This window comes from Homo sapiens, chromosome 8, assembly GCF_000001405.40.
Source record: "Homo sapiens chromosome 8, GRCh38.p14 Primary Assembly".
Classification (NCBI taxonomy): domain Eukaryota; kingdom Metazoa; phylum Chordata; class Mammalia; order Primates; family Hominidae; genus Homo; species Homo sapiens.
This window is the reverse complement of record NC_000008.11, coordinates 92,850,258-92,877,401: the sequence shown is the minus strand read 5'-3', so window position 1 is coordinate 92,877,401 and position 27,144 is coordinate 92,850,258. Positions and strand designations below refer to the sequence as shown.

At 34.4% G+C, this 27,144-nt stretch overlaps 1 long non-coding RNA gene across 1 annotated transcript; it reads left to right on the top strand.

Annotated features, from left to right (window-relative positions):
* The first annotated feature begins 2,489 nt into the window (after nt 1-2,489).
* LOC124901978 (uncharacterized) lies at nt 2,490-27,103 on the top strand. The gene is made up of 3 exons (XR_007061007.1): nt 2,490-11,879; nt 11,959-12,036; nt 17,093-27,103. It is a non-coding gene; the product is annotated as an uncharacterized LOC124901978 (long non-coding RNA).
* Nucleotides 27,104-27,144: the final 41 nt, after the last annotated feature.

Genomic DNA, 27,144 nt, shown 5'->3' with positions numbered 1-27,144 from the left:
TTTTTCATGGATGCACTAATCATGTCTGATCTCCGTTTTCTCTTCATTTTGTAATCTGAAATGATTCACATATAAAAGATGCATATATTGTATATATATCTATATGTCAGTGAAATAATAAAATGAATACCCATGTATCCAGAGCCCAGCTTACCAACATTTGGTATTGCTTGGCTATTTTAATTTTTGCCATTTTGAAGTGTGTATAAAGATATTTCATTTAAAAATTTTTATTTTCTTTATTACTGTTGAAATTGAACATCTTTCAGTATACTTTATCTATTTATATTTTCTCTCTGAAAGCTCTGTTCACATTTATTGCACATTTAAAAATTTTTTGTGTCTTAAAAATGAGTAAGAATTACTTATATCTGTATATTCTAGTACTAATCTTCAGGGTTTCAAGTGTGTATTTGTGTGTCACAAATATACTATTAGAGATTGTGTCTTCTATTTTCACTTTCTTTGTGGTATCTATTAATAAAGTTCCTGATTTTAATGTAATCAAACACATCAATGTTTGTCATTTTAAACAATTATTGAGATTTAAAGGAAGGCTTCTTGCCCCAGGGTCATGAAAATATGTTTATATTTTTTCTTACAGTGCTTTTGCTCTTACACTTAAGTCTTTAATCTCATCTGGCATTGATTTTGTACATGGTGTGAGGTTTAACTTTTTTCCATTGGCCTACTACTAGCTCAGTGAGGCCTACCCTAATTACCCAGGGTAAAATCATAACTTCTTCACCCACCCTGGGACATCCCCCTTTACCCTGCTTTAATTGTCTCTCGAGCACTTCTTGCCACCTGTCACATTCATGTTCTATGTTTCTTGTCCCAGTACCATTTATTTGAGTTGCCCCCTCCTTTCCATACTGACCCCCTTTCCCACCTCAGTCAAACATCAAGTATAGATGCTGTTATCTGGACTCTGTATTCTGGCTCATGATCCAAATATTTCATTGTTTATCTCTGTGTAATCACCACATTGTCTTAATAACTGCACTGCTATAATGGTCTTAATATTATAGGGCTAGTCCACCACCTCATTCTGCAGAAGTGACTTGGTTATTTGTGATTGTTTAAACTTCTATCAAATATTGGAAATAGTGTTTCTAGTTCCCTGACAAACCCTGCTAAAAAATTTTTACTGAAACTCCATTAAATCAACTTGGTGACAATTGTCACATTTAATATATTCAACCTCCAGCACAGTGAAAATGGTACCTTTCCCTAATTAATTAGGTCTTTTTAAAAAAATTATTTAAGCAAAGCTTTAGAAGTTTCTTCATGAAAGTCTTGTAACTTTTTGTTAGAGTTATTCATAGATTACTTTTAATATTTACATGTGGTAAATATTTATTTTTAAACTATATTACCTATTTGTTGCTAGTGTATGGAAATACAAAGGATTTCTAATGTTATAAAAATAGTATTATTAACTAAGTTATTAATTCTAATAATTAGCCAGAAGATTCTTTTGAATTTTGTATGAGGACATAACAATGCATTCAAGTAATGATAATTTTGTTTCTTACTTTCCATCTCTAGTATTGTTTATTTTCTTCCATCCTTAGAGTTTGATCTAATAAGTTCAGTACCTTATTGGACAGAAATGTTGATGGTGAGCATCTCAATCTTGTTCATGCCATATCCTGCAAGTCTTCATGCAAGTGTCGTCTTCTTAGTGAGGCCTAACCTATCCCCCATTTAAAATTGCAAATTCCCAAACATTCTGGGCCTTCCTAGTCCTCTTTAACTGTTTTATATTTCTCTGTAGCGATATTACCATCTGACATAGTCATATTTTATGTGCTGGTTTATTATTTATCTACCACCATCATGAGGCATGGACTGACTTTCTACCTAAGTTATTTTGAGCAAATAACTGAATGAATAATGTATTTTATACCTTATACTGCCAAATTATTGTTACACATAGTTTTTCCATTGATTCTCTATGGATTTCCAAATGTGCTATCCTGTCATCTGTAAATAAATAATGTAAGTTGTTCCTTTCCAATTTTTATGTCATTAATTGTTACCGCTTATCTAAGAACATTGAGTAATTAGTGCCATCAACATAATGTTAATGATTATAGAGATAGTGGCCATCATTACTCCTGACCTTACTAAGAATTACTGTGTTTTACTACTAAATAAAAATCTGGCTTTACTTTAGGACTGATTGTGTGTGTGCCTATGTGTGTGTGGGGTGGGATCGGGGGGAATAGATACATATATCTAGTCAATGGTATATAATTAGTTATTTATCAATTATATAAAATACAAAATGGATTATAAGTTTTCAAATTATCAAGTCACATATATAATTTATCATATTTATAATTTATAAAATTATATACAATTATATAATATACAAATAAGTGAATATATAATTGTATATGAGTAATATAATTAATAAAATTTTACATGTATAAATCTGTATTTATATATTTTATATAAATATGTAGTACATAATATATAAATACATAATTTACATATAATTCATGAATACATAAAATAAATGCATGAATATATATATCCAGTGTATGTTTACGTTAAAGAAGTATCCATACATTTCTATTCTCTGTTTTACTAAAATAGTTGTTGAATGTTTTCATCATATATTTCAGCATCTATGGAAATAATCACATTATTTTTCTATGTGAAAGTCCCACTATAGGGATACATTTTGTAATATTGTACTATCCTTGCATTACTGGTATCAATTTTACCTGCCTTGCTGTGTTACTTTTTTATGCAGAGGTGTGTCTGCTAATTATTTTTCATTTTTGCATCAAATTCATATATGATATTGTTCCTTAATTTTTTGTGATATATTTTTCAGAAGTAAGCACCAATGTTGCACTTGTTTTATAAAAAGAATTTAGGAGTTTTTCTTCACTATATACACTCTGAATCAATTTATGATGTGTTACTTCTACCTAAGAAAAGTCATCTATGTCTTGTTATTTTGTGAAGTGCTTCTTTGATATTTTCTCTCTTTCTTCCTTGGGAATTGGCCTATTTAAATTTGTATTTCTACTGAGGTTAATTTTCGTAAGTTGTATTTTCCTAAGAAATTATCTATCTCACTGAGGTCTTCAAGTTATCACTAAGAAAAGTAGTCTCTTACTAGCTTAGAAAAGTATTCTCTTTTTATTTAAAACATTTTATCTGTATCAATAATTATTTTCCCTTGTCATTCTTATGTTGTATATTTGGATTTTCTCACCTTTTCTTGATTAATTTATCTAGTGGTTTTTGTTTATTATTTCCAAAGAATAAAGATTTTTATTTTTTGATTTAATATTTTTATGGTTTTTAACCTACTGTGTGCTTTTCGTGGTTTTAGTATTTTACCACATTTTTATTTTCTTAAGTTGCAAATGTAATTTACATTTTAAAATTATTTTATTTTACTGATCTAGATGTTTTAAGATGTTAAATATCCTTTCATATATCTGTTTTAGTTTATTTCAGAAATTCATTATTCAGAAATTCTGTAATTTTTGTTTGGATTTTCCCTTTTATCCAAGTGTCATTTAATAAGAAGGTACACATATATTTGTGTATATATATATATGTGTGTGTGTGTGTGTGTGTGTGTGTTTTATATATGTATGTGTTTTATCCAAGAGTTCTTTAATAGAAAGTTTTATATTATGTAAAATATATTTTATTTTTATTTATACAAACACACATATACGTATACTTACAGGTAGAAGAGCTTTATGTTTAAAATTTAATTTTTAAGTTTAAATTTTACCATAGTGTAATTAGAGTTGCTTGCAATATTTCTGTTTTATGAGGTTTGCTGATGTTTTCTATTTGACCTAATATGTGATCAGTTTATGGGAATGATTCATACTGAAGAAGGAGGTACAGTCTATTATAAGGAATATTGTCCAGTTTTGATATAAAAAATCAGACTTATTATGCTTTATAGATCTTCTATATCCTCACTTATTTTTTTTCATTTGACTTGTTTCTACTGAGAGTCATATTTTAAAGTCTTCTTTTATTATGTTTTTTTCTCCTTGCATCTTTTGTAGTTTGTGCTTTTCGAAGTGGTGACTCTGTTATTTGCTGTGTTGATATTCATAACTGTTACATCTTTGAATTGCAGCTTTAAGCGTTATAGAGTATCCTTAAGGCCTTTGGCCTGAATTCTGCTTTTTCTTATATGAATATTGCAGTTCTTCCTGTTTTATTGTTTAATTTTCCTGCTATATCCTTTCCCATCCCTGTAATTTTGGCCTTGTCGAATCAGTGTATATTGTCTGCCCCTCACATAGAAAATAAAGTTGGGATTTGCTCTATGAGCCAATTTGAAAATTTTCCTTGCAACAGATGAATTAAACCTATTCTTTTTGATGTGGCTGATATGTTGGTATCAATTCTATACATAAGTTTATGTTGCTGCTACTATTTGTATTTTGTTATATATACTGTGTTTCTCTGTTTAGTATATATATGTATACTGTATTTTGTTATATATACTGTGTTTCTCTGTTTAGTGCTTCTTTGCTATTTAAAAAACATTTTGGTGTTTTTGAAAGTGGGTAATTTTATTCTAATGGTTACTTTAGTATTTATACTTTTATTGCCCTTAATATACTTTTTTTTTTTTATAAATTACCTTTTACTATGTGGACTGTAAATCTTACATTATACCCTTTTACTCTCATCTTTTACTTATAAAACAGCCAATAATCTTATTCTGCTTTCTCTGCAGTTTAATTTTTCACCCTTGTAAGTAACTTGATCTTATTGCCTGTTTACCTTCAGTGATTTTTTTTTTCTTTAAATTCTAGTTGTTTTCTAGGAGCCATCTCAGACTTTCTTACTTTTGAGTTTTCCATGCATACAGTGGGGCCATAAAATATGTAAAAATAAGTTTTTTTGGTTCTGATTTTTAAGATTATAGTTTTATATATCAGTTATATTAGACTGTTTAATTTTTCTCCAGACTTCAATTATATGTGTGTTAAACATTTTTTGCATATCTTCCATTTCAAGCATCTTTTCTTTGACCCTTTTATTTATTTATCTCATTTTTATTCTCTTTGTTGTTTTTCTGCTTTTCTTCAAAGTCCCTTATTAAACTTTCAGTAGAATCTGTTATAAATCTGGGGTATCTTTTAATTTATCTTTTATTTCTGAAATGGACTTGTCTTTTCCTCCAATTTCTTTACTAAGATCAATCAACTTTTATTGCATTACTTCCTCTTTTTTTCCACTTATATTCTTTGTTTTAAATTTCTGATTCTAGTTTATATTTATATCCATATTGATATCTACATATCTATATCTAATTTCCAAAAGCTTGTTTGAGATTTTTTTAATTAAACTTGAAATTAAGCTGAACTAAAAAAAAATTGTGTTAGACTATTCTTTGGTTTTGTGGCAGTTTTCTTCTTTTTTGATAAATAACATTTCAGTGTCCGAAGTATTTTGACTTAAATTTTCTGTTTTCTTCTTCCATTAGCTCTGTATGTCATTGGCTTTTTTTTTTTCTTTTTTTCCTATTCCTGGGCATTTTGGGGGTAGGGGTAGGATTCTCAGCCCAGAAATCCCTGCTTCTGTCAGTATAGTGAGGCCATTTCTTTAATGAATGTCATTGTGGTAGGGGAGAAGCAAAGAACTGGCATGACCTGTTACTGTTTAATTTCTGAAAGATCCTCAATTATCTCCTCTTCTTCTTTCTTATTTCTCCTACATCATCAGGACATAATTCTCTCTCTACTTTTATGATTCTTTCTAAGAAGGAATGCTTTACAAAGCTACTGGCTGCTTTAATACTACTCACTTTTAAACATCTTTCCTATACCAAGTGTTGTGAACTACAAGATACCATACCCAGAGTTTTTCCACTTAGTATTGTACTTCCTTTCTCTGGGGTCTGTGCCTCGTCTATGTGCTCTACATTTTTATGATGTGTCTTAAGTTTCTTTCTTTCTTTCTTTCTTTCTTTCTTTCTTTCTTTCTTTCTTTCTTTCTTTCTTTCTTTCTTTCTTTCCTTCTTTCTTTTCTTTTCTTTTCTTTTCTTTTCTTTCTCTCTTTCTCTCTTTCTCTCTCTCTTCTTCTTTCTTTCTTCTTCACCCACAAGCTGACAGTTATGTCAGGAGGTTTGTTGTGATGTGACATTTATATCTGTATTTATAGACAAACTGATGTTCATAGGATTTTCTATTTCCTGGTAATACTAAAGTCTTGAATCACTTGTAATTTCATCTGCACTGTTTTTTGATATAATCTGCAGGGAGGACTTGAGGAGAGATTCAGGTTCAGGAGGGCACCCTTTTTCCCAGTCTCAGAATTTACTTGGAAAGAGAGTTTTTGAATCGATTGCTTTCCAGGTTGACTATATGCAGTAAAATCACCTTGGAATTGTTTCTTATAGAATTTTTATGTTTTGCATTTAAAAAGTTTTTTGAGGCCTTAAGTTGTATATCCATAATTGAACTCAATACTTTATGTAAAGGGGGGGTCTTATACTTTTGATTTTCACCATACTGTCTGGTATAATAACTTACATATGATAGTTTCTCAATAAATATTAATTATTCGATGTTAAGATTATTATATATTGAAAGTATTTTATATAAGAAACTGGAAGCAAAGCATTTCGGTTATTCATGTTCTTTGAAAGTTTCTTACATTGAAAATATTGAGAAATATCTTCTAAAACAAATAAATATAGTTCTTTTTTAAAGCAGCCATATTTTGAGGAAAACATGCATTTAAGAACATATTCTCATGAAAAATCTGGAAAAATACAGACTAATTTCTCCAATTCTTATTTTTCTCTATACCTACTCTATACAAAAAAAAAAAAACAAAAACAAATGAAGACCCATAAATTTTATTCTTTATTTTAGCATGTGTAAAAATTAAGGCAACAAACAATAAGAAAATAGAACACATTATTTTAATCTCTGCTATTTATTAATTCATTTAATTTAAATGCAAATTATATGTTTTAATAATCATAAATTGCTTGGCATCAGGTTGCTCCTGGTAATGAGCAGTTCGAGAGATGGCACTTTTTTGAAATTCTAATAAAGCATTCCATGGAGCCTCCTTCCTTTGTGAACATGGCTGTCATTGAAACACCCTGAAATACAGAGCTGAAATGATTTAAAACCTCAGAAGAAGGTTTTTAAGGTTGGAATAGGAAACCACTCTTGGTTTCATGGCTAGATCTGAACATTGAAGTTAAGAAGCAATTTCAAATCAATCGGTAGAAAGATTTTACTTCTGATCATGAGCAAGAGGCCCTTTCTCTGGTAGGTGTCAGGAATCATGTGATGGACACTAATGATGTCTGCTGCCTTTTATCATCTGTCAGGGACAAGTCACATTTATTTCCACACAGACAGTAAGAACATTTAATGAAACAAAACAGCATTATCGAGCTCCAGGTTCCCAATTCTCTTTGGTCCTAGAAATGAGGCTCCAGGTTCATTAAATTGTGGCTTGTGGAGGTACACCACAATTATAGTCTACTCAACCAAAAATTATAATAAGATCCCAAAGCAAGGCTCACATACACTGACCCACTTGTTTCTACTTTAAAAGTTCAAATCAATTCAGCCGATCACAGGTTTAGATCGTATGTATATGCAGATAGATAGATAGATAAAATTATATATAGTTTTGTTACTCTTTAACATACAATTATATGTTCATTATTCAAAAAATACAAAAGCAAATTAAAAAAACCCAAATTATATTGCCCAGATTTATCCTCTGTTAATATTTATATATTTGTGGTTTTGCTCTTTAGCCTTCCAGACTTTATGAAACCTTCATATTCATTTAAAAATATGTAAATTATTTGTTCCCTGTTCTCTGTCTGATTACAAGAACACCCAAATTTTTGCTCCCTTAAATCAAAAGATACGTAAATATAGGGAGATACAAGCATATTGTATTGCTATGTTCTTTTTTTTTTTTTTTGAGACAGAGTCTCGCTCTGTTGCCCAGGCTGGAGTGCAGTGGTGCTATCTAGGCTGCAAGCTCCGCCTCCCGGGTTCACGCCATTCTCCTGCCTCAGCCCGAGTAGCTGGGACTACAGGTTCCCGTCACCACACCTGGCTAATTTTTTGTATTTTTAGTAGATGCTATATTCTTTTTAATATATTCATTCACTCAACAAATATTTATTGAGTTTCTACTACATGCAAGATACTTTTTAGCCATTGGAAATACAGCAGCAAACTAAAACTGATAAATTTCTATTATAGGGCTCACATTCTGGAGAAGTAGGTAAACAGAGATATAAAATTAAAAAATGAAAAAAAAATGCATGCAAATATAACACACATTTTATTCCAGGTGGTGAGAAGTGCTATTTAGAAAAAGAAGACAGACAAGGGGGAAATCAGCATTTCCATTTGCCCCACTTACTCTGCCACAGCCATAATTCAGACTTCTCTTGATTTCTCCAGATATGCTTTGACCTCAGGGGCTTTACAATGACTCTTCTATACTACACACTCTTTCACCTCTTTCTAATCTTTCTTCAAATGTCACCTTCTTTATTGAGGTACCACCCTAACTACCCTATTTAATATTTCAACCTGGTGCCCCCGGTCCTGCCAGAGCACTTCTAAGCCACTTGCCACCTCTCTACTACTCAATGATTATCACTTTTGAACATCCCATCTATTCTGCTTAGTTATTATGCATATTGTCTATTTTCAGTTTCCCTCCACTGTAATGAAAGATCCACAGGAGCAGAGATTCCTGTCTGGTTACTGTTGTGTTCAAAGTGCTAAAACTAGTGCCTGGCATACAGTAAGTGCTCAAAGAATACTTGTTAGTTGATTAAAGTAGAGATGTTGAATAGATGGTTGAATATCTAAGACTTGAGATTTGGGGAGGAGTCCAGGCTGGAAATGCAAATTTGGGAGTCATATAAGGTGACATTTTCAGCCATAAAATTTGAAGAAATCTGGGAAATGAGTAAAAATAGAGAAGTCCTATGAAAAAGTTTTAAAAATCAGCAAATTAAGCCCAGGACATCTCTTAAGTTTTATGTGACATCTCTTGTTTTACCACTCTTTTAACTACTATATTACAAGATAACCTCTGTAATTCTGCATTGTAAAAAGATTTTTATGATAACTCTAGTTTCATTAAATGTATTATAAAGATTCTAATTTTTACAAAATTAGCCACATGCAATATTGTAGCACATAAACTGCACTGCAGAGCTGTCAATGAGCAGAGAATATATTGAATGCCTGAAGATGCATAATCTCTACTTTAGATACCATTGATCTAGAAAATAAGATTCAAAAGGACCTCAGATTGAGATCATCCAAAGAAGACTCCATTACTTTCTTTCTTTGTTCTCTTCATCTTCTAAAATTTTCTACTTCTATCAATGGCACATCTTTCTGTAAAAACCTACACAATTCCTCTTCCTTCCCTCTCAGCCAAATGCCAATCTATGGTGGCTTCACATCCTGTCCATTTCACATCTGTGCTCACTTTTGAATCCTTCCGTATTCTTCCTTACTGTGAGCATCTTATTTCAGGCCTTGAATGCTACCATTTCTGTCTTCTCTTCTAACCGAATGTCACATTCTCTATTAAGTTTCATCTCCATTCACTATATCTCCTTTTCACCTTCCTTTCATTCCTGATCTATTGTATTTATGCTTATATTCTTACATCTCCACCACATCTGCTCTAGCTGAGCTTACTAATAATCTCCTAAATGCCCAATTCAATGGACACTTTTCAGTTCTTACTTTGCTTGTCTCTGGCATTTGATACTGTTTGAAACTGTCTTCTACTTGATACCTTTCCTTCTTTTGGCTTCTGTCATACCATGTTTTCCTACCTTTTCACTTTCTTTTCTGATTCTTTACAGCCTCCTCTGTGGCCTCCCTTTGTTTCTCTTTGGCCCTAAAATTCAGTGGTTCTTAGGGTTCAGTCTGAGGTCCTCTTCTAGCTCCTCAAAGTCTTATCTACATGAACCCCTAGTCCCAATCTAATTAGCCTCCTCTATTCCCTGATGCTCACCTATGATTCCCCTCTCTGCTCTTGGATCATTCTGTGCCTACTTTCTAGGTTCCTTCTCTATTGTCACTAGCTACTCAGTCACAGATCTCTAGTATTGGTGCTTCAAGACTCAACCGTAATTACATTTTCTCTTTCTCATCAGAGTATTTCAGCTGTACCTTTCATAAGGCACTTTCCACAGCCCATTAAGCATTAGAATTATTTATGTAGCCTGCTATCTTTCCATGGGCTGACTCCATGTCTAATTTTTTCTTTCCTAGATTGTCATTGTATTGTAGCTGGAACTCAGTCAGTGGACTGAATAAAGAATAAATAAATAGGAATGTGCCTCATATTACCATAGCACAGTACTAGTCACTAGGAAATGGTCGTTTAGTTAGCAGCCTCCAGAACTGCCTAGCACACTCCCAAATTAAGGACTGAAAAACGAATTTCTTGTCTGGTTGGGTGCATGGTGCTTGACGAGGCATCCCAGTGAATGGTGGGTACAGCACAGATTCATGGGGAAGTACTTTTCCACAGCTCTAACTGGGCACCAAAATATGCAAATTATAGTGGTTGTGTTTTCTTCATTATTTTCAGTGAGCCATTTATGTGTGCATCAATACTGTTTTTTCACATGATTTTATAATGTTTTAGGCATTCATTATGCATGACTTCACAGTTCTCTGACTACTTTGGCAGGGCTCACTCTGAAATAAAATTAACATTAATGATTATTAATATGATTTTAATGGAGCATTATATTAACATGTGAGAAGATTAGGGCTTGTTACTAATATTCTTCATATGATAATTTCTTTAACAGTTTTTAAATTTATTATGCTATTATATTGGCCCCTTTTCCTTGAGCATTGCTTAGGTTTACAACTACCAAAACCACTATGTTTAATTAGCAAGGAATAATAATAGCAACAAAAGCTATCATTTATTGAGCACTCTGTCACCCTAGGCCCACTGGTAAACACTTTAAGTGTATCATTTTCTTTGATCCTCACAGAACCACAGAAAATAGATAATATTGTTATACCCAATTTACTTTGAGGAATCTAAAGCTTAGATAATTTTTTTCAACATCGTATTCTAGAAGTAATGGATCTTGGTTGCCAAATAAAAATGTCTGACTCTAGAGCCAGATTTTTTTAACTACACTTATTTAGCTCTAAATTGCTCTTTTAGTAAGAGATATATTTGAGTAGGTCGTACTATTTCCATTTAGTTTGCCAGTTTTTATATTTAACGTCTAAGGTCATGCTGTACTATGCTCTAGAAAAAAAAATAAATGTTCCCAAATAGAGAATTTATTAAACACAGTGTGGTATGTAGTATAGTTTACTGCATTTCCATAATGTTTTCTTTGAGAAACATTATCTCAAAAGAAAATGAGCCCAAGATAGGTTTTTGTTAAACAAAGTTGACTTCATTTTAAGTACTCACAAAATATATTTTAAATAGTCCATTCTAAACTCTTGCCTGGAGTCAAGTTCTCTGACCTGCTTTTGTATGTCAAGACTAAGTTTACCTACCTCTAGTCTTCCAAAACTTGAATTCTTCATGATTTCTTAAGAATACCAAGGGTAGACGGATAAACTGATTAAGTTTCCTAAAGTTCTAAATAAGTAATATATAAACGCTAAGAGACAATTGAGGCAGACAAATTCTTACAGTTTTCTTATAAACTTAGGGCTTCAACTTCCTTTTACCAGCATTTTTCCTGCCTTTCCTATATGAAGATGATTCTCCTTGATAACGAAAGCAGAAAACTCAAGGGGCCTTATCAGATTGGTTTTCTACTTATTGTCTGTCAGTGTTATACAACTGGACCTCAGCAACAGGTAAACCTGGACCTTCCCTCCCTGACCTTTCTCTTATTTGGAACATAAACAACTAAAACTTTTTAATATTTGTCTTTAGGAATTTTCACCCACCTCAATACATTTGGGGGCTTAGAGTCACTGATGGTATTCTTTAGAAATCACTGCTACTTTCTTGGTATGTACTCTTCTTTAATATTCCCTTTTGCATTGAAATCTGCTTGAAAGCTCCCTTTGGGGGGTATATGTAACTTCTAAATTGGTGATTCTGGATACATTTTGAATTAACAAACCCGTTTGAAAATCTCATGAATACTCTGGGCTTTTCTCCCTGGAATAATGCACCTATAAATTCATGTTTCACGTAAGTCTTCACTCTGAATATTTTGAAGACTACCTTCATCAGATTTAGTTACTGCCTGAATTTCTACCACAGTTGTTTTGTATTATTGGTTTATTTAAGGCAGTGTGCATAACTTAAAAATTCAGTACTTTGAACTGTAATGTAATTCAAGGTAGCTAATATCTCTAAGCTAGTGTTCTCTGCAAATGTGCTTAGCATCTATCTCATTGTTGGTTTGCTTGTTTTATAATGGGTTTGATGATGGGTTTGATGATGAATTTTATAATGGGTTTATGATGAATTTGATGGGAATGTCAGCTCCCCTAGAGCAGGAATGTCCTTGGTTTTGTTAATGTTGTTCCTTACCACTTGACCAGGATAATGCCTGGCACACAGTAGGTACTTAATGAATATTTATTGAATGAATCAATAACTTAAACAAAATTGTAGCAGACTGTATGTCCTTAGTAATGATTCTTAATCACAGTTATTAAATTATCACTTCAGAAATGAAGCACAAGTAAAGAAAGCACAAGTCAAGTAAAACCAGCGCAAGTCAAGTAAGGAATTTTCTGGAACGTGCCTTTTAGCTGATTGTCACTTGTAGCGGATATTTAGCTCATTGAAAATTCCCATTACTACTTCATTTTTGTCATAACTTCCTCAGAGATGCCTTCCTTGACAAACCTAGCTAATGTTAACTGCTTCTGTCCTAAGCCAAGAACTCTGCTATATTAGTCTGAGTTTCTTCACAATCTAAAATGACTTCATTTATATGTTTAATTTGCCTTTCATCTCTTTCCCCCACTAGAGAAAAAGTTTTCTGAGAGTAATTACTTTGTCCTATTTAATACTCTATCTGTAGTGCCAGACACTAACAGGCACTCAACAAACATTTGTTAAAGAATGAATGATATGTGATGCTTCCTCCTCCTAAGACCTCAGTTCTGCTCACACCTGCTAACACGTGCAGATCTTAGTATCACAGAACATGGAACCCTACTTCCTTCCTCTCTAGAGGGCCCAACTTTAGTCATCTTATTTTCTGGGAACAATCCTGACAGTATTTTTCAGATTCTTCTCCCCTCTTTGTTTGCCATACCCTAAAAACTACTTATAATTCTGTAGCAGACACTTATAATCCTCCAGCAGGCATCTTCCCCTTTATCCTGCCAAACAGAACCCAAAGTTTATCCAGGTGTTTATCCATACTCCTCCCTATAGCCATTGTTTCTGGGGTGGTCAGGCCAGTTCTAGCTGCAGTCTTCATTACTTTGAGCAAACTATATGGTCTCATTCCCCTTTCTGGTAATTGGCTTGAATGTGGGCATATGACTCAATGTTGTCCAGTGAAATGGTGGGGTGGGATTTCCTGAAGTTTCAATGAATTGATAACCATGTAGCTTTAAAACCATATTCTATGCTTCAGAGAACTCTAGAGAGCACTAGAATATGAGTATAAGACAGCAAGAGTAAAAAGAAACAGTGAAAAAAATGATATTGAGAGAATATGAATGAATGAAGAGATGAGGCAGAATCTAAAAGAGAGACTATGAGAAAGAGAATATATGACAAAAAAGAAGAGTATTTTTCTGCTTTCTGCTTACCATTAAATGACTATATGATAAAGTTTTATTCAATTTTTTAGATTATCTTAGAGACTCTAAATAGTTCGTCAAACTATTTACTGATAGAATTTAACAAACAAGCTATCTCCTAAGTATCCAGAATCTTGGAGTTTCTATAGTAATGTGTATTGTTGTTTCTTGGTGATGCTCAGCATCTAGTTGCATGACATCATTATACACTCCCTGTGAAGAATGCCTAGGAATGGCCACAGGTGTCTGGCACATTCTGACTATGGCCAGGAGACCCATATCATTAAGACAATGACCAAGAGTCATCTTGCTTGACTATGTGTTTGAAATTGAAACAAGAGGCAAAACCAACATACGTGCGGTTAATTTAAGGCACTTTCTCTCTATTTATTAAAGCTAATTGCAAATCTGGCTTACAATTAACAATTGCCAAAAGGATTAAAATGTCCATGGCACTTGACCTAACGGAGTGTCCATGGCATTACCCCTAGATTTAATATTTCCAGGAGTGGGTTTCATTGCCTGAGATGTTACGCCTAGAAATAGCCCTGCTGTAAAAATAAGTATCGACAATACCGTGGCAATGCCAAAGCAATTTATGATTTTTATAACCGTCTATACTAGTGGCTAGCATTAAAACAATACAGCTGGAGACTAATTAATGGATGCAGGTAGGATCTTCCATCCTGTAAGAGGGAGGTTGCCTGTTCCCTTACCGGCTGCTGGCTGTAGCTGTCATACTGATAGCATGTTGTTGCCAATGTTGCCACCTCATTAGAAAATTAGCTTTTAATTAACTTTGGAAGCTGTTGCATGGGTTTCAATAGGAGGCAGACATTTGTACACATCTTGTTGCAGAATTAAACTGCCCCTTCATGTTTCTAATGGGCCTCTCCTGCCTTGCAGAAAAGCAGCAGTCTAGCCGCTTGCAGGCAGCCACTCCATGGGTAGCAGTGGCCACACAGCTCCAGCCTGCTCCCAATTACAATGAGATGTCCTTTAGTGCCCTCATGAGCAGCCCCTTACTCCAAGGCCACTTGAGATATTAAGCAGCAACAGAGAGGACCACAATTCCAGATGCTCCCCGTTTATTCTTCTGACCCCCAACCTGGCTTTAATAGCACATAGTCTGGGAAGAATGTGCATTACCTCATTTTTATATTTCAGCATCTCTGCCTTAGCACAGTGGTGATAAAACTACAGACAAGATAAATAGCTAGATTATCACTCTTCTCCCCAGGGGAATGCTGTGCTGTCAATTAGGCTAATGGTGGTTCCAGGTTCAGCTTTGGCATGCCCTAACACCAGGGAAGGCTTTTTGCCCTGCATAGCTGCAAAGCCCAAAGAAGGATTTGAAAAGTGGCTATGACCCTAGGGTGGACAGCCAGCAAAGAGAGAAGTCAAGAAGCCTGATGATTAATCACCTGCCACAACAATGGGAGGGTGAGGAAGATGAGGCCCAGGAGACCAGATCTTTTGAGCTTTGTTATAATTACACATTGCCTCTTTCAATTCTACTTGGTGGCTTAAGAGGAGATATGGGTGCTCACTGTTTAAGAAGTGAGTCTCCATTCTTTACTAAAAATAAACGTTCTTTTGTCATACTTTTTCAAAGCACTTACTCTGACATTTGATCTTATTACCAGTCTCTGAGGGACTTAGTACAGGTGGCATTTTTCTTGTTTTGCAGATGATGGAGTTGTAAAACACAGCAAAGCTTAGTGATTTCCCTGTGATCACACAGCCAGCTGTGATGACACCAGAATAAAAGCCACATAATCTAACTATTGTAAATCTTTACTTATGGTTCTCCTCTGCCTTGTACTTGCACTTCCAACTACAGAAACTAAGTTACAACATGTTAACACAGTATTTTTATAATTTTAATAATTACATAGGACACAAACCTATAAAGGAACTTTTCCTGGAAAATACAGCCTGCTAAACAACAAAGTAATTTATTGAACACCAATATAGAAAGCATAGTTATAGCTCTGATTTTTTCTACAGTTGGGGGCATATAGAGATGACCTTTACTTAGATGCCAGCAGAAAGTGACAGACTGTGCAATGCTGGTATTTTTCCATTTGAAGACAAGTTCTCTGCAGTGTGGAGGTCAGATTATGAATCAAGTGACACCATATTCTGTTTTGCCTGCGCAAATCTCAGATTTCAGCTATTCCAAGCATTCCATTGGTTTTAGCAATTATCCTGGATATAAATGGTGTAGTTGGATAGTAAATTTTATGGCACCCCAATTTTAAATCTAAGATTTATTTTCTGGCTGTCTTGTCCCACCGAGGAGCCCACCATTCCACAGTTTAACTTTTGGGAGTTTTCAATAAATACTTTATTACTCATATACTTCCAGGGCTTTCCTGCAATCAGATGACAGTGGTGATAAAGATGGATGTTTAGCAGTCATTCACTCTGTGCCAAGTGCCAGGCTTTATAAAGTACCTGCATTATTATCTCTTTTAATCATTTCCAAATCCTCTGAGGTGTTTACCATTGTTACTCATATCTTACATAAGAGGAAACTGAGACTTACAATGAGTAAGTAACCTGCTCAAGATTCAATAGCAAGTAAGTGACAAAGCCAGTATTTTGACTCAAGTGTTTCTAGCTTCAAAGCCCAGACTCTTAACAGCAATGATTTTTCAGTTGGCAAAGTCTCAAGCCAGATCCTCAGTCTATTCTCCCTTGTGTTTGACTCCTACCAATGGTGAAAGATGAGGAGTCCTGTCTCAGCCCTCCCAGGCAATTTTCCCTAGCTTTACACAAATAATTGCTTCTCATGAAATGCACATTCCTGAGCCCATCCTCAAAGACTCTAATTTAGTGGAACCTAGACATTTCTCTTTCAATAAGCTCCATAAGTGATTCTGATGCTAGTGGTTTCTCAACCATATTTTGAGAAACACTGATCTATATATTTCTAAGTATTTATTGTGTGTGAAAAATTGGGTCTGAATAGAGATTACCAGTGGCTGGAAAAGTAATGGATAGATCATCTGTATCACTGAAAACTCCTAAAATGAAGAATAGTAAGGATGCATATTAGGCACCTACTTTGCACTAGACACTTTGCATATATTTTATTGCATTTAATCTTTATAGGAATCTTGTTAGAGGCGTGTGTGTGTGTGTGTGTGTATGTGTGTGTGTACATTTTACACTGCTAAGGGACCTCTGGAAGGCTATACAGAGCACTACTCAGGGTAATCCCACCTGAGGGTTGAGAATGTCAGAGTATTAATTCTATTTTCCTCCTCATCTATTTTCTTCCCAAGCTTTTCCAGCCTTCCTTGTCCATGAGATGAGAATGCCCTTGTGATCAGAGAAAGCCCTCGGGCAAAGGGCTTCTCTATTAAAGGTAGGTTCTGGTTTATATTTGTATTATAGCCTACACATAGATTTATTTTTCTGTTTTTAAATTTTTAATTTCCACTGTTTTGTTGAAAACATATAGTTTTTTTGTTCATTTGTTTTGCTTTTTAGGAAAGTATCACCCTATGTACATTGTGCTAGGTTTTTACCTTCATGTACAGGACAAACTTAAATTTGAAATCCTAGGTCTCCGAGGACCGTGAGATAATGAAACAGGGGATTCTGGAATATTGAATATGGTGTTTCTTCTTCATGGAAAAGGGTGGGAGATCTGTGCTGCATCCACTGTCTTGGACACCCCAAAGGAAAGCTCAATCTTACTGATACAATGAACTGACAGGTGAGACCTCACAGTCTCCATCAATCATGCCTAAATCAGCTGAAATGCTGCTATTGCTCTTTGGGGAGCAGCAGTTCAGCAGAGGAGCTGCCTCCAATAGACAATGAGGAAATCACCTTTGCTAATTGAGCCTTTCCTAAGAGAATTGACAAGTTTGTGCTAAAAGCAGATAGCCCTCTCCATCTCTCCAGGAAGGGACAAAATGGATGGACAAGAAGACCAATAGATATTGGATCACCATCATATCCCTACCTGCATTTACTGCCCTCACAAATCCATATGAAAGTAGAGTAAACTTGCTGGGCGTGGTGGCTCATGCCTGTAATCCCAGCACTTTGGGAGGCCGAGACTGGCGGATCACCTGAGGTCGGGAGTTCGAGACCAGCCTGACCAACATGGGAAAACCCCGTCTCTACTAAAAATACAAAATTAGCTGGGCATGGTGGCACATGCCTGTAATCCCAGCTACTCGGGAGGCTGAGGCAGGAGAATTGCTTGAACCCGGGAGGTGGAGGTTGTGGTGAGCCGAGATCACGCCATTGCACTCCAGCCTGGACGGCAAGAGCGAAACGCCATTAAAAAAAAAAAAAAAAAAAAAACAAAAAAAAAACACAGAGTAAATTCTGGGCTGCATAAGGGCTGCATAAAGAGAGGCAACTCCATCTCCTCACTGTTGCCAGAAATCCAAAGATAACCAAATGTTGAAAACTAACACTTTTTGAAATTTCTTTAATATGGAGAATTGAATGATGGTACCAAAAGAATGTGATGTAGGAGTCCTCAAAAGCATATAGTAGCTTGAGCTGCACAACAGGAAGTGTTTGCTTCTCTTCCTTCATTCTGTATTTTGGCCAAAGACATTACTGTATGAGAACAAGCCCTCTTTGTTAATATCAGACACATCTTTCCCTTGAGATCCTCAAGATCATGAATTAAAATATTTTCTTCCTGCAATATTTTATCTTCTCCAAAATCTCTGGATTGATCTGCAGGGAGGAACAGTCACAGGCTCTAAATACTAGACCCTCAAGAGAATATAGATATAACAAATTCTAAATATGAAGATTACATACCAATGCTTAAAATATAGTAAACTACAGGTGTGGAGGAGAAATCTGAAGGCAGAAGAAGGGCTGGAGACTGGGTCTTCAAGTTCATCCTTGAAGCCCAAGCTTCACAGCTATCTCAATCTGAACCACACTCCATAGCAGCATCACAATTGCTCTTGGTGGGGACCCAGTGATTTTCCAAGCAGGAGCCCCCTATCTTGGCAATATGTTTAGCCTTACCCATGAAGGTTTTTCCAGTGTGAGAAGAGTTACTTCCAACTTTGTGCCCTGGAAGCCTTCTCACCCCACTCCAAATCTTTCAACACTCTCTACCCACCCATCCCCACCCACCATTCCAACCAAGACAGTAGTAACTTTCCCATGTGACAGCAGCTGTAGCTAAAACTATTCACTTTTCCATCTACCCCTGGCCATTTGCAGTATCTTTAAACAACATTCTGTCTTGATGAATCTTGGATTCTTTGTTTTGTTAAAAATAAATAAATAAATAAATAAATAAGGGCTATTTTCTTACAATTTCCATTTTAATTTTTACCTAACCCAGGAAATTCAGAATATCATATCTGATGACTCAATAAGGTGGGTGATGCACTTTCCAGTGCCTCTAGTGTATATTTCTCTCCCTTCCATCCTCACTGCTTCTTCCTCTAATAAGTGTCTCATCATCTTTCACCAGCTGCTTTCTTGTTGACTTCAAGTAGTGTACTTCTCCAGCCTAGCTCCATCATTTATTCTTCATATAGATGCAGAGTTTTCTTTGTAAAGCATAGATGTGATCATTATATTGTCTTGTTCCCAAAACTTTACAAAAAGAAAAATACACACACAAAAAAAGAATTCAAATAATGAGAACCATTTCATTCAAATATGAGAAAAGAGCATGAAGATCTCTCAAATAACTGAGTATAACTACAGGTACAAAAAGTTTGCTTAAAATATTAAGGTCAACAACTAAAATAATAGAGTTATATTATCCAAGTTAGCAGAGTGTAAAGCCAGAAATAAATAAAACCTAATCAATATAGAAAAGGGCAGAAAAAGAGAAAAATAAACACAACAAAAAGCATGATAAATATTTAAAAAGAAATAACCACAATAAATGTAAGTGGCCTCAATCTGCCTTTTGGGAGACAGATCCTTATGTTGGGTAATGAACTATATTTCTTTTAAATGCTAATTATGAGGGAGACACGTAATGCATAAGGCTCTTGGAAATTTGGAAGAAAAATGAGAGAAAAATACATGGAGAGATATTTTCTAAGCAAAATACAATTGACAGATGAAATAGAGAATGACCAGTTATATTTGAATTTTAGATAAATAGTGAATATTCTTATTATAATTATGTCCCAAATATTGCATACAGCAAACTTATACAAAAAAAAGGAAAAAAAAAAGGTTATTGTTTATCTAAATGTTAAATTTAACTGGTATACTATAATTTTATTTACTAAATCCAGCAACCCTAAACCAAAGGAATGTTGGCCAAGCTATATTATTATCAGATAAAATAGACTTTGGTTCAGCAAGAGTTTTTTTCAATAAGGGATAAACTGCACAAACCATAAAGTAAATGACAAATCCACTATACTACATTCAAATTGTAAAGCCTCTGATCAAAAAAAACAACATAAACAAAGTGAAAATAAAATGCACAGACTGGGAGAAGACATTTCTGATTCACATAACAGGTAAAAGATTAAAAATTAATAATTTATAAATTGCTTCTATAAGTTAGGTAGGAAGGAAGGAAAAAAGGAACACAGAGAGGAAGAGAGGGAGAGAAGGGAGAGAGAAAAGAAAAGCAAATATCCCAGTAGAAACATGATTTAAAGTATATGAACAGGCAATTCAAAGTACAAAGCCAAATGGTTAATATAAGATGATAAACTTCGTAATCAGGAAAATAAAGATTGACCAAGAGCTGCCATTATTGCCCAAATGAGTATCAAAAATTTTAAATCTTGACAATCCCAGTGTTGAAGAAGATAAATTATATTTAAAAAATCATTGTTAGACATATAAATCAGTAAAACCAATCTGGAAATCAATTTGACATCTGTAAGAATGCACATAGGAATAATATCTTTTGAACAAGATGTTCTATTCTAGGTTATATACCTAGGGCTGTGCTGTCTAATACAGCAGCCACTAACTGTATGTGGCGATTTAAATTTTAAAATAAATTACTTTAAATTAAATAAAATTTAAAATTATGCTCCTTAGTTGTACTAGCCACATTTCAAGTTCTCAGTAGCTGCATGTGGCTACTGATTATCATATTGGACAGACCAGATATACAACGTTTCCATCATTGTACAAACTTTTATGGGATAGTGACCCTAAGATTGTCTTTAATAATAATTTCTACAAGAAAGCGTGTTTTTCTTTTTTTTTTTGGCTTCCCTGCCCCCATAACTAGCACAACTTCTTCCATCTCAAGTAGCGGTCATTGCTCTAAGATGACTTATTTAAAAGAAATTTCCCATCTAGTTTAGCCTAAGCACTTTTTTAAAAATTAGAGAAATATTTTACTCATGTCTAAGAATATAAATAAATAAATGTAAATATAGACTTTTAGAAAAGAAGCTAAAAATGTCCCATTTGTCAAACAAATTACCAAACTGGAGGTACATGAGCCTGCAGATATATTTTATTTGGTCAATGGTTTGTTTTGGTTATTCTTAAGTTGAATTTGTTCCCAACACTTAAAAGTATAGAGATTTTCTTTATTTTTTTTAAAGTTGTCTGACTTCTTTTTAAAAATAGAAAAATCTGGGAAACTGAGCCTATATCCATTGACAAAAAAACCTTTGTTAGTGCTGAGTGGTGAGAACTTTATTTTGCAGGTGCACTGCCTTTCCAATAGATCCCAGTCCTTCACCACTTCCCTCATTTATATCATCTGCCTGGCCCCTGTGTACTGGCTTGGAACTGCAACCTCTGTTCCCAATATACAAAAATGATCGTATTGCTTTCTGGCATACCTAAACACTCACGGGCTCCCAGCTATGTTGTAGTTGTGTGTGGTTGACCACATCAGCCATCATGAGAATAAATATTTGACTATCACAGGAACTTGAAAAGACTAAAATATCAATCGATCGAGTTATGTTAAGATATTTTAGTTTGAGCATATGATTCTCTGCATATGTTTATTTCTGTGGTTTTATTTATATAGACATGTCTGTGCTGTATTTATGCATCTTACAACTGTTATTTTGAGGAAATAAAGTAGAGGTGAAGGTCCAGCCATCCTCAGCTGTTAGAAATTAATACTGTGTTGGCAGATGCACCAGAGAAGGCTAACGTATCACTCTGTTTACACCTGAATGGAGTTGGGGGAAGCACAATGTAAATAAACATACTGTTTTCAAAGAGTAGAAATGTTGAAATCAACTGGCTAATTGCTTTTAAGGAAGAGTACCTTACTATGCTTCACCTCTGGCCTGAATTCCTTCTCTTAATTAATTAGGCAACAAAATATTAACATAACTATCAGTCAGAGTTTAAATGGTCATTCTTCAGGGATATTGTAAAAAGAATTGCTACTGCATTGAGTTTGGCCATGATTCAGTTTAATAATTTGGTTTCTTGACATCTTGGGGTAAGACAAAGTCAGTAAGTTAAATGGTTTGGGTGATTAGGGACAGGGCCAGAAAAAAGTGGTTGATTTTATTGTGAAGACTCCAATCACTCACTCAGATACACTTAAGACTTCCTCTGGCATAAGAGAAACTTTATACCCCTTGAAGAACAATTTCCTACTTTTCCTTCCCCCTGGCCCCGGTGAACACTATTCTATTTTCTGCTTTTATGAGTTTGACTATTTGAGATACTTCATATAAATGGAAACGTGTAGTATTTGCCTTTCAGTTTCTGGCTTATTTCACTTAGCATAATTTCCTCTAGTTTCATTCATGTTGTCGCAAATGGCTGGATTTCCTTCTTTTTTAAGGCTGAATAATATTCCATTGTATGTACATATCACTTTATTAATTCATCTTTCCATTACCTTTTGGGTTGTTTCTATTATAAATAATGCTACAATGAATATGAGGGTGCAAGTATCTCTTTCAGATTCTGATTTCAATTCTTTGGGATATATGCCCAGAGGTGAGATTACTAAATCATAGAGTCATTCTATTTTAATTTGCTGAGGAACTTCCATGCTGTTTTTCCTAGTGGCTGCACCATTCTACATTCCCTCCAAAAGTGTATAAGGGTTCCAGTTTCTCCACATCCTCTTTAACACTCATTATTTTTTGTTCTTCTGTTTTTGTTTTTGTTTTTTTATAGCCATCCTAATAGGTGTGAGGTTTCTCACTGTGGTTTTTGATCTGCATTTATCTGATGACTAGTGACACTGAACATGTTTTCCTATAACTGGTAGCCATTCATATGTTTTCTTTGGATAAATATCTATTCAAGTGTTTTGCCCACTTTTTAATCAGGTTGTTTGTTTTTGTGTTTTTTTGCTACTGAGCTGTAGAAGATTCTTATATATTTTGGATACTAACCCCTTATCAGATAGATGGTTGGCAAATATTTTCTCCCATTCTGTAGGATGCCCTTACACTCTGATGATTGTTTCCTTGGCTCTGCAGAAGATTTTTAATGAGATGTAGTGTCCCTTGTCTATTTTTGCTTTTGTTGCTTGAGCGTTGATGTGATATTAAAAATAAAATCGTTGCCAGGACCAATGTCAAGAAGTTTTCCCCTTACATTTCATTTTAGGAGTTTTACAGTTTCAGGTCTTATATTTAGGCTTTTAATACATTTTGAATTGATTTTTGTGTATGTATAAAATAGGGGTCCAATTTTTTCTGCATGTGGATCTTCAATTTTTTCAACATCATTTGTTTAAGAAGCTATTCTTTCCTTATTATGGGTTCTTGGTAACCTTTTCCAAGGTCAATTGACCATATATATGAGGATTTATTTCTGGACTCTCTTTTCTGTTTCATTAGTCTGTATGTCTGATTTTATGACAGCAGCATACCATTTTGATTACTGTAGTTTTGTAATATATTTTGAAATTAGGAAATGTAATGTCTCTGGCTTTGTTCTTTTTTTTTCAAGATCATGTTAGCTATTTGGGGTCTTTTGTGGTTCTGTACAAATTTCAGGATTTTTATCTATTTCTGTAAAATATGCCAATGAAATATTGATAAGGGTTACATTCATTCTGTAGGTAGCTTTGGGTAGTATGGATATTTTAACAATATTATTTCTTGCAACTCATGAACACAGGATGCCTTTTCAGTTATTTGTATGAATTTCCTGTTGTACAAGATGAGTCAGTTCTAGAAATCATCTCTACAACATAGTACATATAATTAACAATATGACTTTGTGCACTTTGAAGTATGTTGAAGATAGATCTCATATCTCATGTTAAATATTCTCACCAAAAAAAAAAAAACCCCTTCACAAACGAACACAAGGAAATGTTTGGAAGTGACAAGTGTTAGTAACCTGGTTGTGATGGTATTACAGGTGTACACATGTGTCCAAACTCATCAAGATGTATACATTAAATATGTGTAATTTTTGTAGATCAATTATATCTAACTAAAGTTTAAGCTTTTTCTGGAAATAAATGGAGGATGAAAAAGCAGGAGCTGGAGAAGGGAGAAATCTCCTCACTGAGGTTAGACTATATTGCTAACCAAAGATGATGGGAGAATCAGAACTTCTTAGCACATGATCTCTTTAGACCAGTGTTTTAATCTTTCTGTGTGATCTGCTCTCTGATTTTTCCCCTAGTCTGTAATTTTTTATAATATTGGCGATGACTGTTTTATTCTTTTCCTTGGTCTTCCTCTTTTTGTTACACACAGGATAAGAGATAAGGCAAAAGAAGAACAAAGAATGTTGCAGGCAACCCTTTAACTGGCATCTTATCCTGCCTGGGTTGCTTCATCTGTTGCATTGTTTTTTCTTTAGTCCTATCTCTTCCCAGGTTTTCTGAGTTTAAAGAAAAGCCAAGTCCTCACTGTGATGCCTAAAGCATAAAATATTAAGAAATACTAAAGTATAAATAATGTGGGGTGATTCAAAACATATATTCCATTAACCAGTAAATCTGTGATGCAGAATCCATTGTATTCACATGGCTGTCAATAAGAATTCAATGGCAAAGAACCAATCTACTCCTTTAAGCAGGAAGGAATGTATTACAGGATATTAGATAGTTACAAAACTATCTGAAAGACTGAAGAAATGGACTCTGGGTTGATCTTTTAAGAATGAAGAATGACTTTCAAGAAAACCTAGGAAACACTCTTCTGGACATTGGCCTAGGCAAAAAATTTGTGATGAAGATCTCAAAAGCAAATGCAACAAAAACAAAAATAGATTAATGGGACTTAATTAAACTAAAATTCTTCTGCAGAACAAAAGAAATAATCCACAGAGTAAACAGACAACCTACAGAATGAGAGAAAATATTTGCAAATTATGGCTCTGACAAAGGACTAATATTCAGAATTTACTAGGAACTCAACAAGAGAGAAACAAACAACTCCATTAAAAACTGGGCAAAGAATATGAACAGACATTTTCTCAAGAAATACAGGCATCCAACATATGAAAAGATGCTCAGCATTACTAATTATCAGAGAAATGCAAATTAAAGCCACAATAACATATCATCTTACACCAGCCAAAGTAGCTATTATAAAAAGTTAAAAGACAACATGTTGGTGTAGATGCAGAGAAAAGGGAATGCTTATACACTGTTGCTGGGAAAGTAAATTCGTTCATCCTTGACTTATATTGGATATTTGTCCCTGCCCAAATCAAATATTGAATTGTAATTTCCAGTGTTGGAGGTGGGGCCTGGTAGGAGGTATTTAGATCATGGGGGCAGATTCCTCATGAATGGCTTGAACCATCCTCTGGGGATAAGTGAGCTCTGAGTTCACATGAAATCTAATCATTTAGAAGTGTGTGGCACCACCTACTCCACTCTCTGTCTCTTGCTCCTGCTCTGGCCATGTGATGTTTCTGCTCTCCTTTCACCCTCTACCATGATTTTAAGTTTACTGAGGCCTCCCCAGAAGCCAAATAGATGCCAGCACCCTGCTTTCTGTAAAGACTGCAGAACTGTGAGCCAGTTAAACTTCATTTCTTTACAAATTACTTGGTCTCAAGTATTTCTTCATAGCAGCACAAGAATGGCCTAACGCAAACCTCTATGGAAAACAGTATCGAGATTTCTCAAAGAACTGAAAACAGAACCACCATTTGACCTAGCAATCCCACTACTGAGTATCTACCCAAAGGAAAAAAAATCATTATATGAAAAGACACCTGTGCTCATACATTAATTGCAACACTATTCACAATAGAAAAGTCATAGAACCAATGTGAGTTTCCATCAAGGTTAACTGGATAAAGAAAATGTGGTATATACACATCATGGAATACTACACAGCCATAAAAAAGAATGAAATCCTGTCCTTTGTAGCAACATGGATGGAGCTGGAGGCCATTATCCTATGTGAACTCACTCAGGAACAGAAAATCAATACCACATGTTCTAATATATAAATGTATAAGCTTGTATAAGCAGTTTGTACACATGGACATGATCATGGAATGATAGACACTGGGGACTCCAAAAGGGGAAAGGGTGGAAAGAGGGCAAAGGTTGAAAAATTATCTATTGGGTACAATATTCCCCATTTGGGTAATTGATACACTAAAAGCCCAATCCCCACCATTAAGCAATATACCCATGTAACAAACATACACATGTACCACCTGAATCTAAAAATAAAATAAATTTTAAAAACGACTTTCAAAAGACACACCATTAAACTGGATCATCAAAAGAACTGCTACATATAAGTTAATTAAGTACAAGCAACGTAGCCTTTTTTGGTATCCCTATGTGTAGGTCAGAGCCTGGCATTGTCATGGTTAGGGGCCCTACCAGAACTGAATGAACCCCAGATCTGTCTCATTACCTCTGCATCTGTGATGCCACTACCCGTTGTGCAAGAGGGCTTAACTACTAACATTCTCTTTGTTCTTTGGTGATTGACTTGTTCTCTGTGAGCTTTTGATTTCTCACATATAAAATGGAACTAATATGTACTCCATTTCCTTAAAGTTTGGGATAATATATAATGATTTTAGGATCAAGAAAGTGAATTCTTACAGAAAACCTGGGACAATAAGTGTTAATTCAATTTATTTGTTAAAAAGCTTACATCTACGTGAAACATTTTATTTAGCGGTGTTTTATTTTGAAGCAGTCAACTTGATGGATTTGAAAAATGGAAGAATGGTTGCCTTTTCAAATCACAGAAGTATTTATAATCATAAACCCTTGCCTTTGAGTAAGCATAGTTGAATTGAAATTAGTGTAGTTCCTCCCTACAGAAATACTGTTTGTGAATGGCAATGGACCAGGATTTAAATAGGTTCAATTTATTATATGAATTAAACACAAATAATGAGTTTAGCTCTTCTTTTTTCTTTCTTTCTTTCTTTCTTTCTTTCTTTCTTTCTTTCTTTCTTTCTTTCTTTCCTT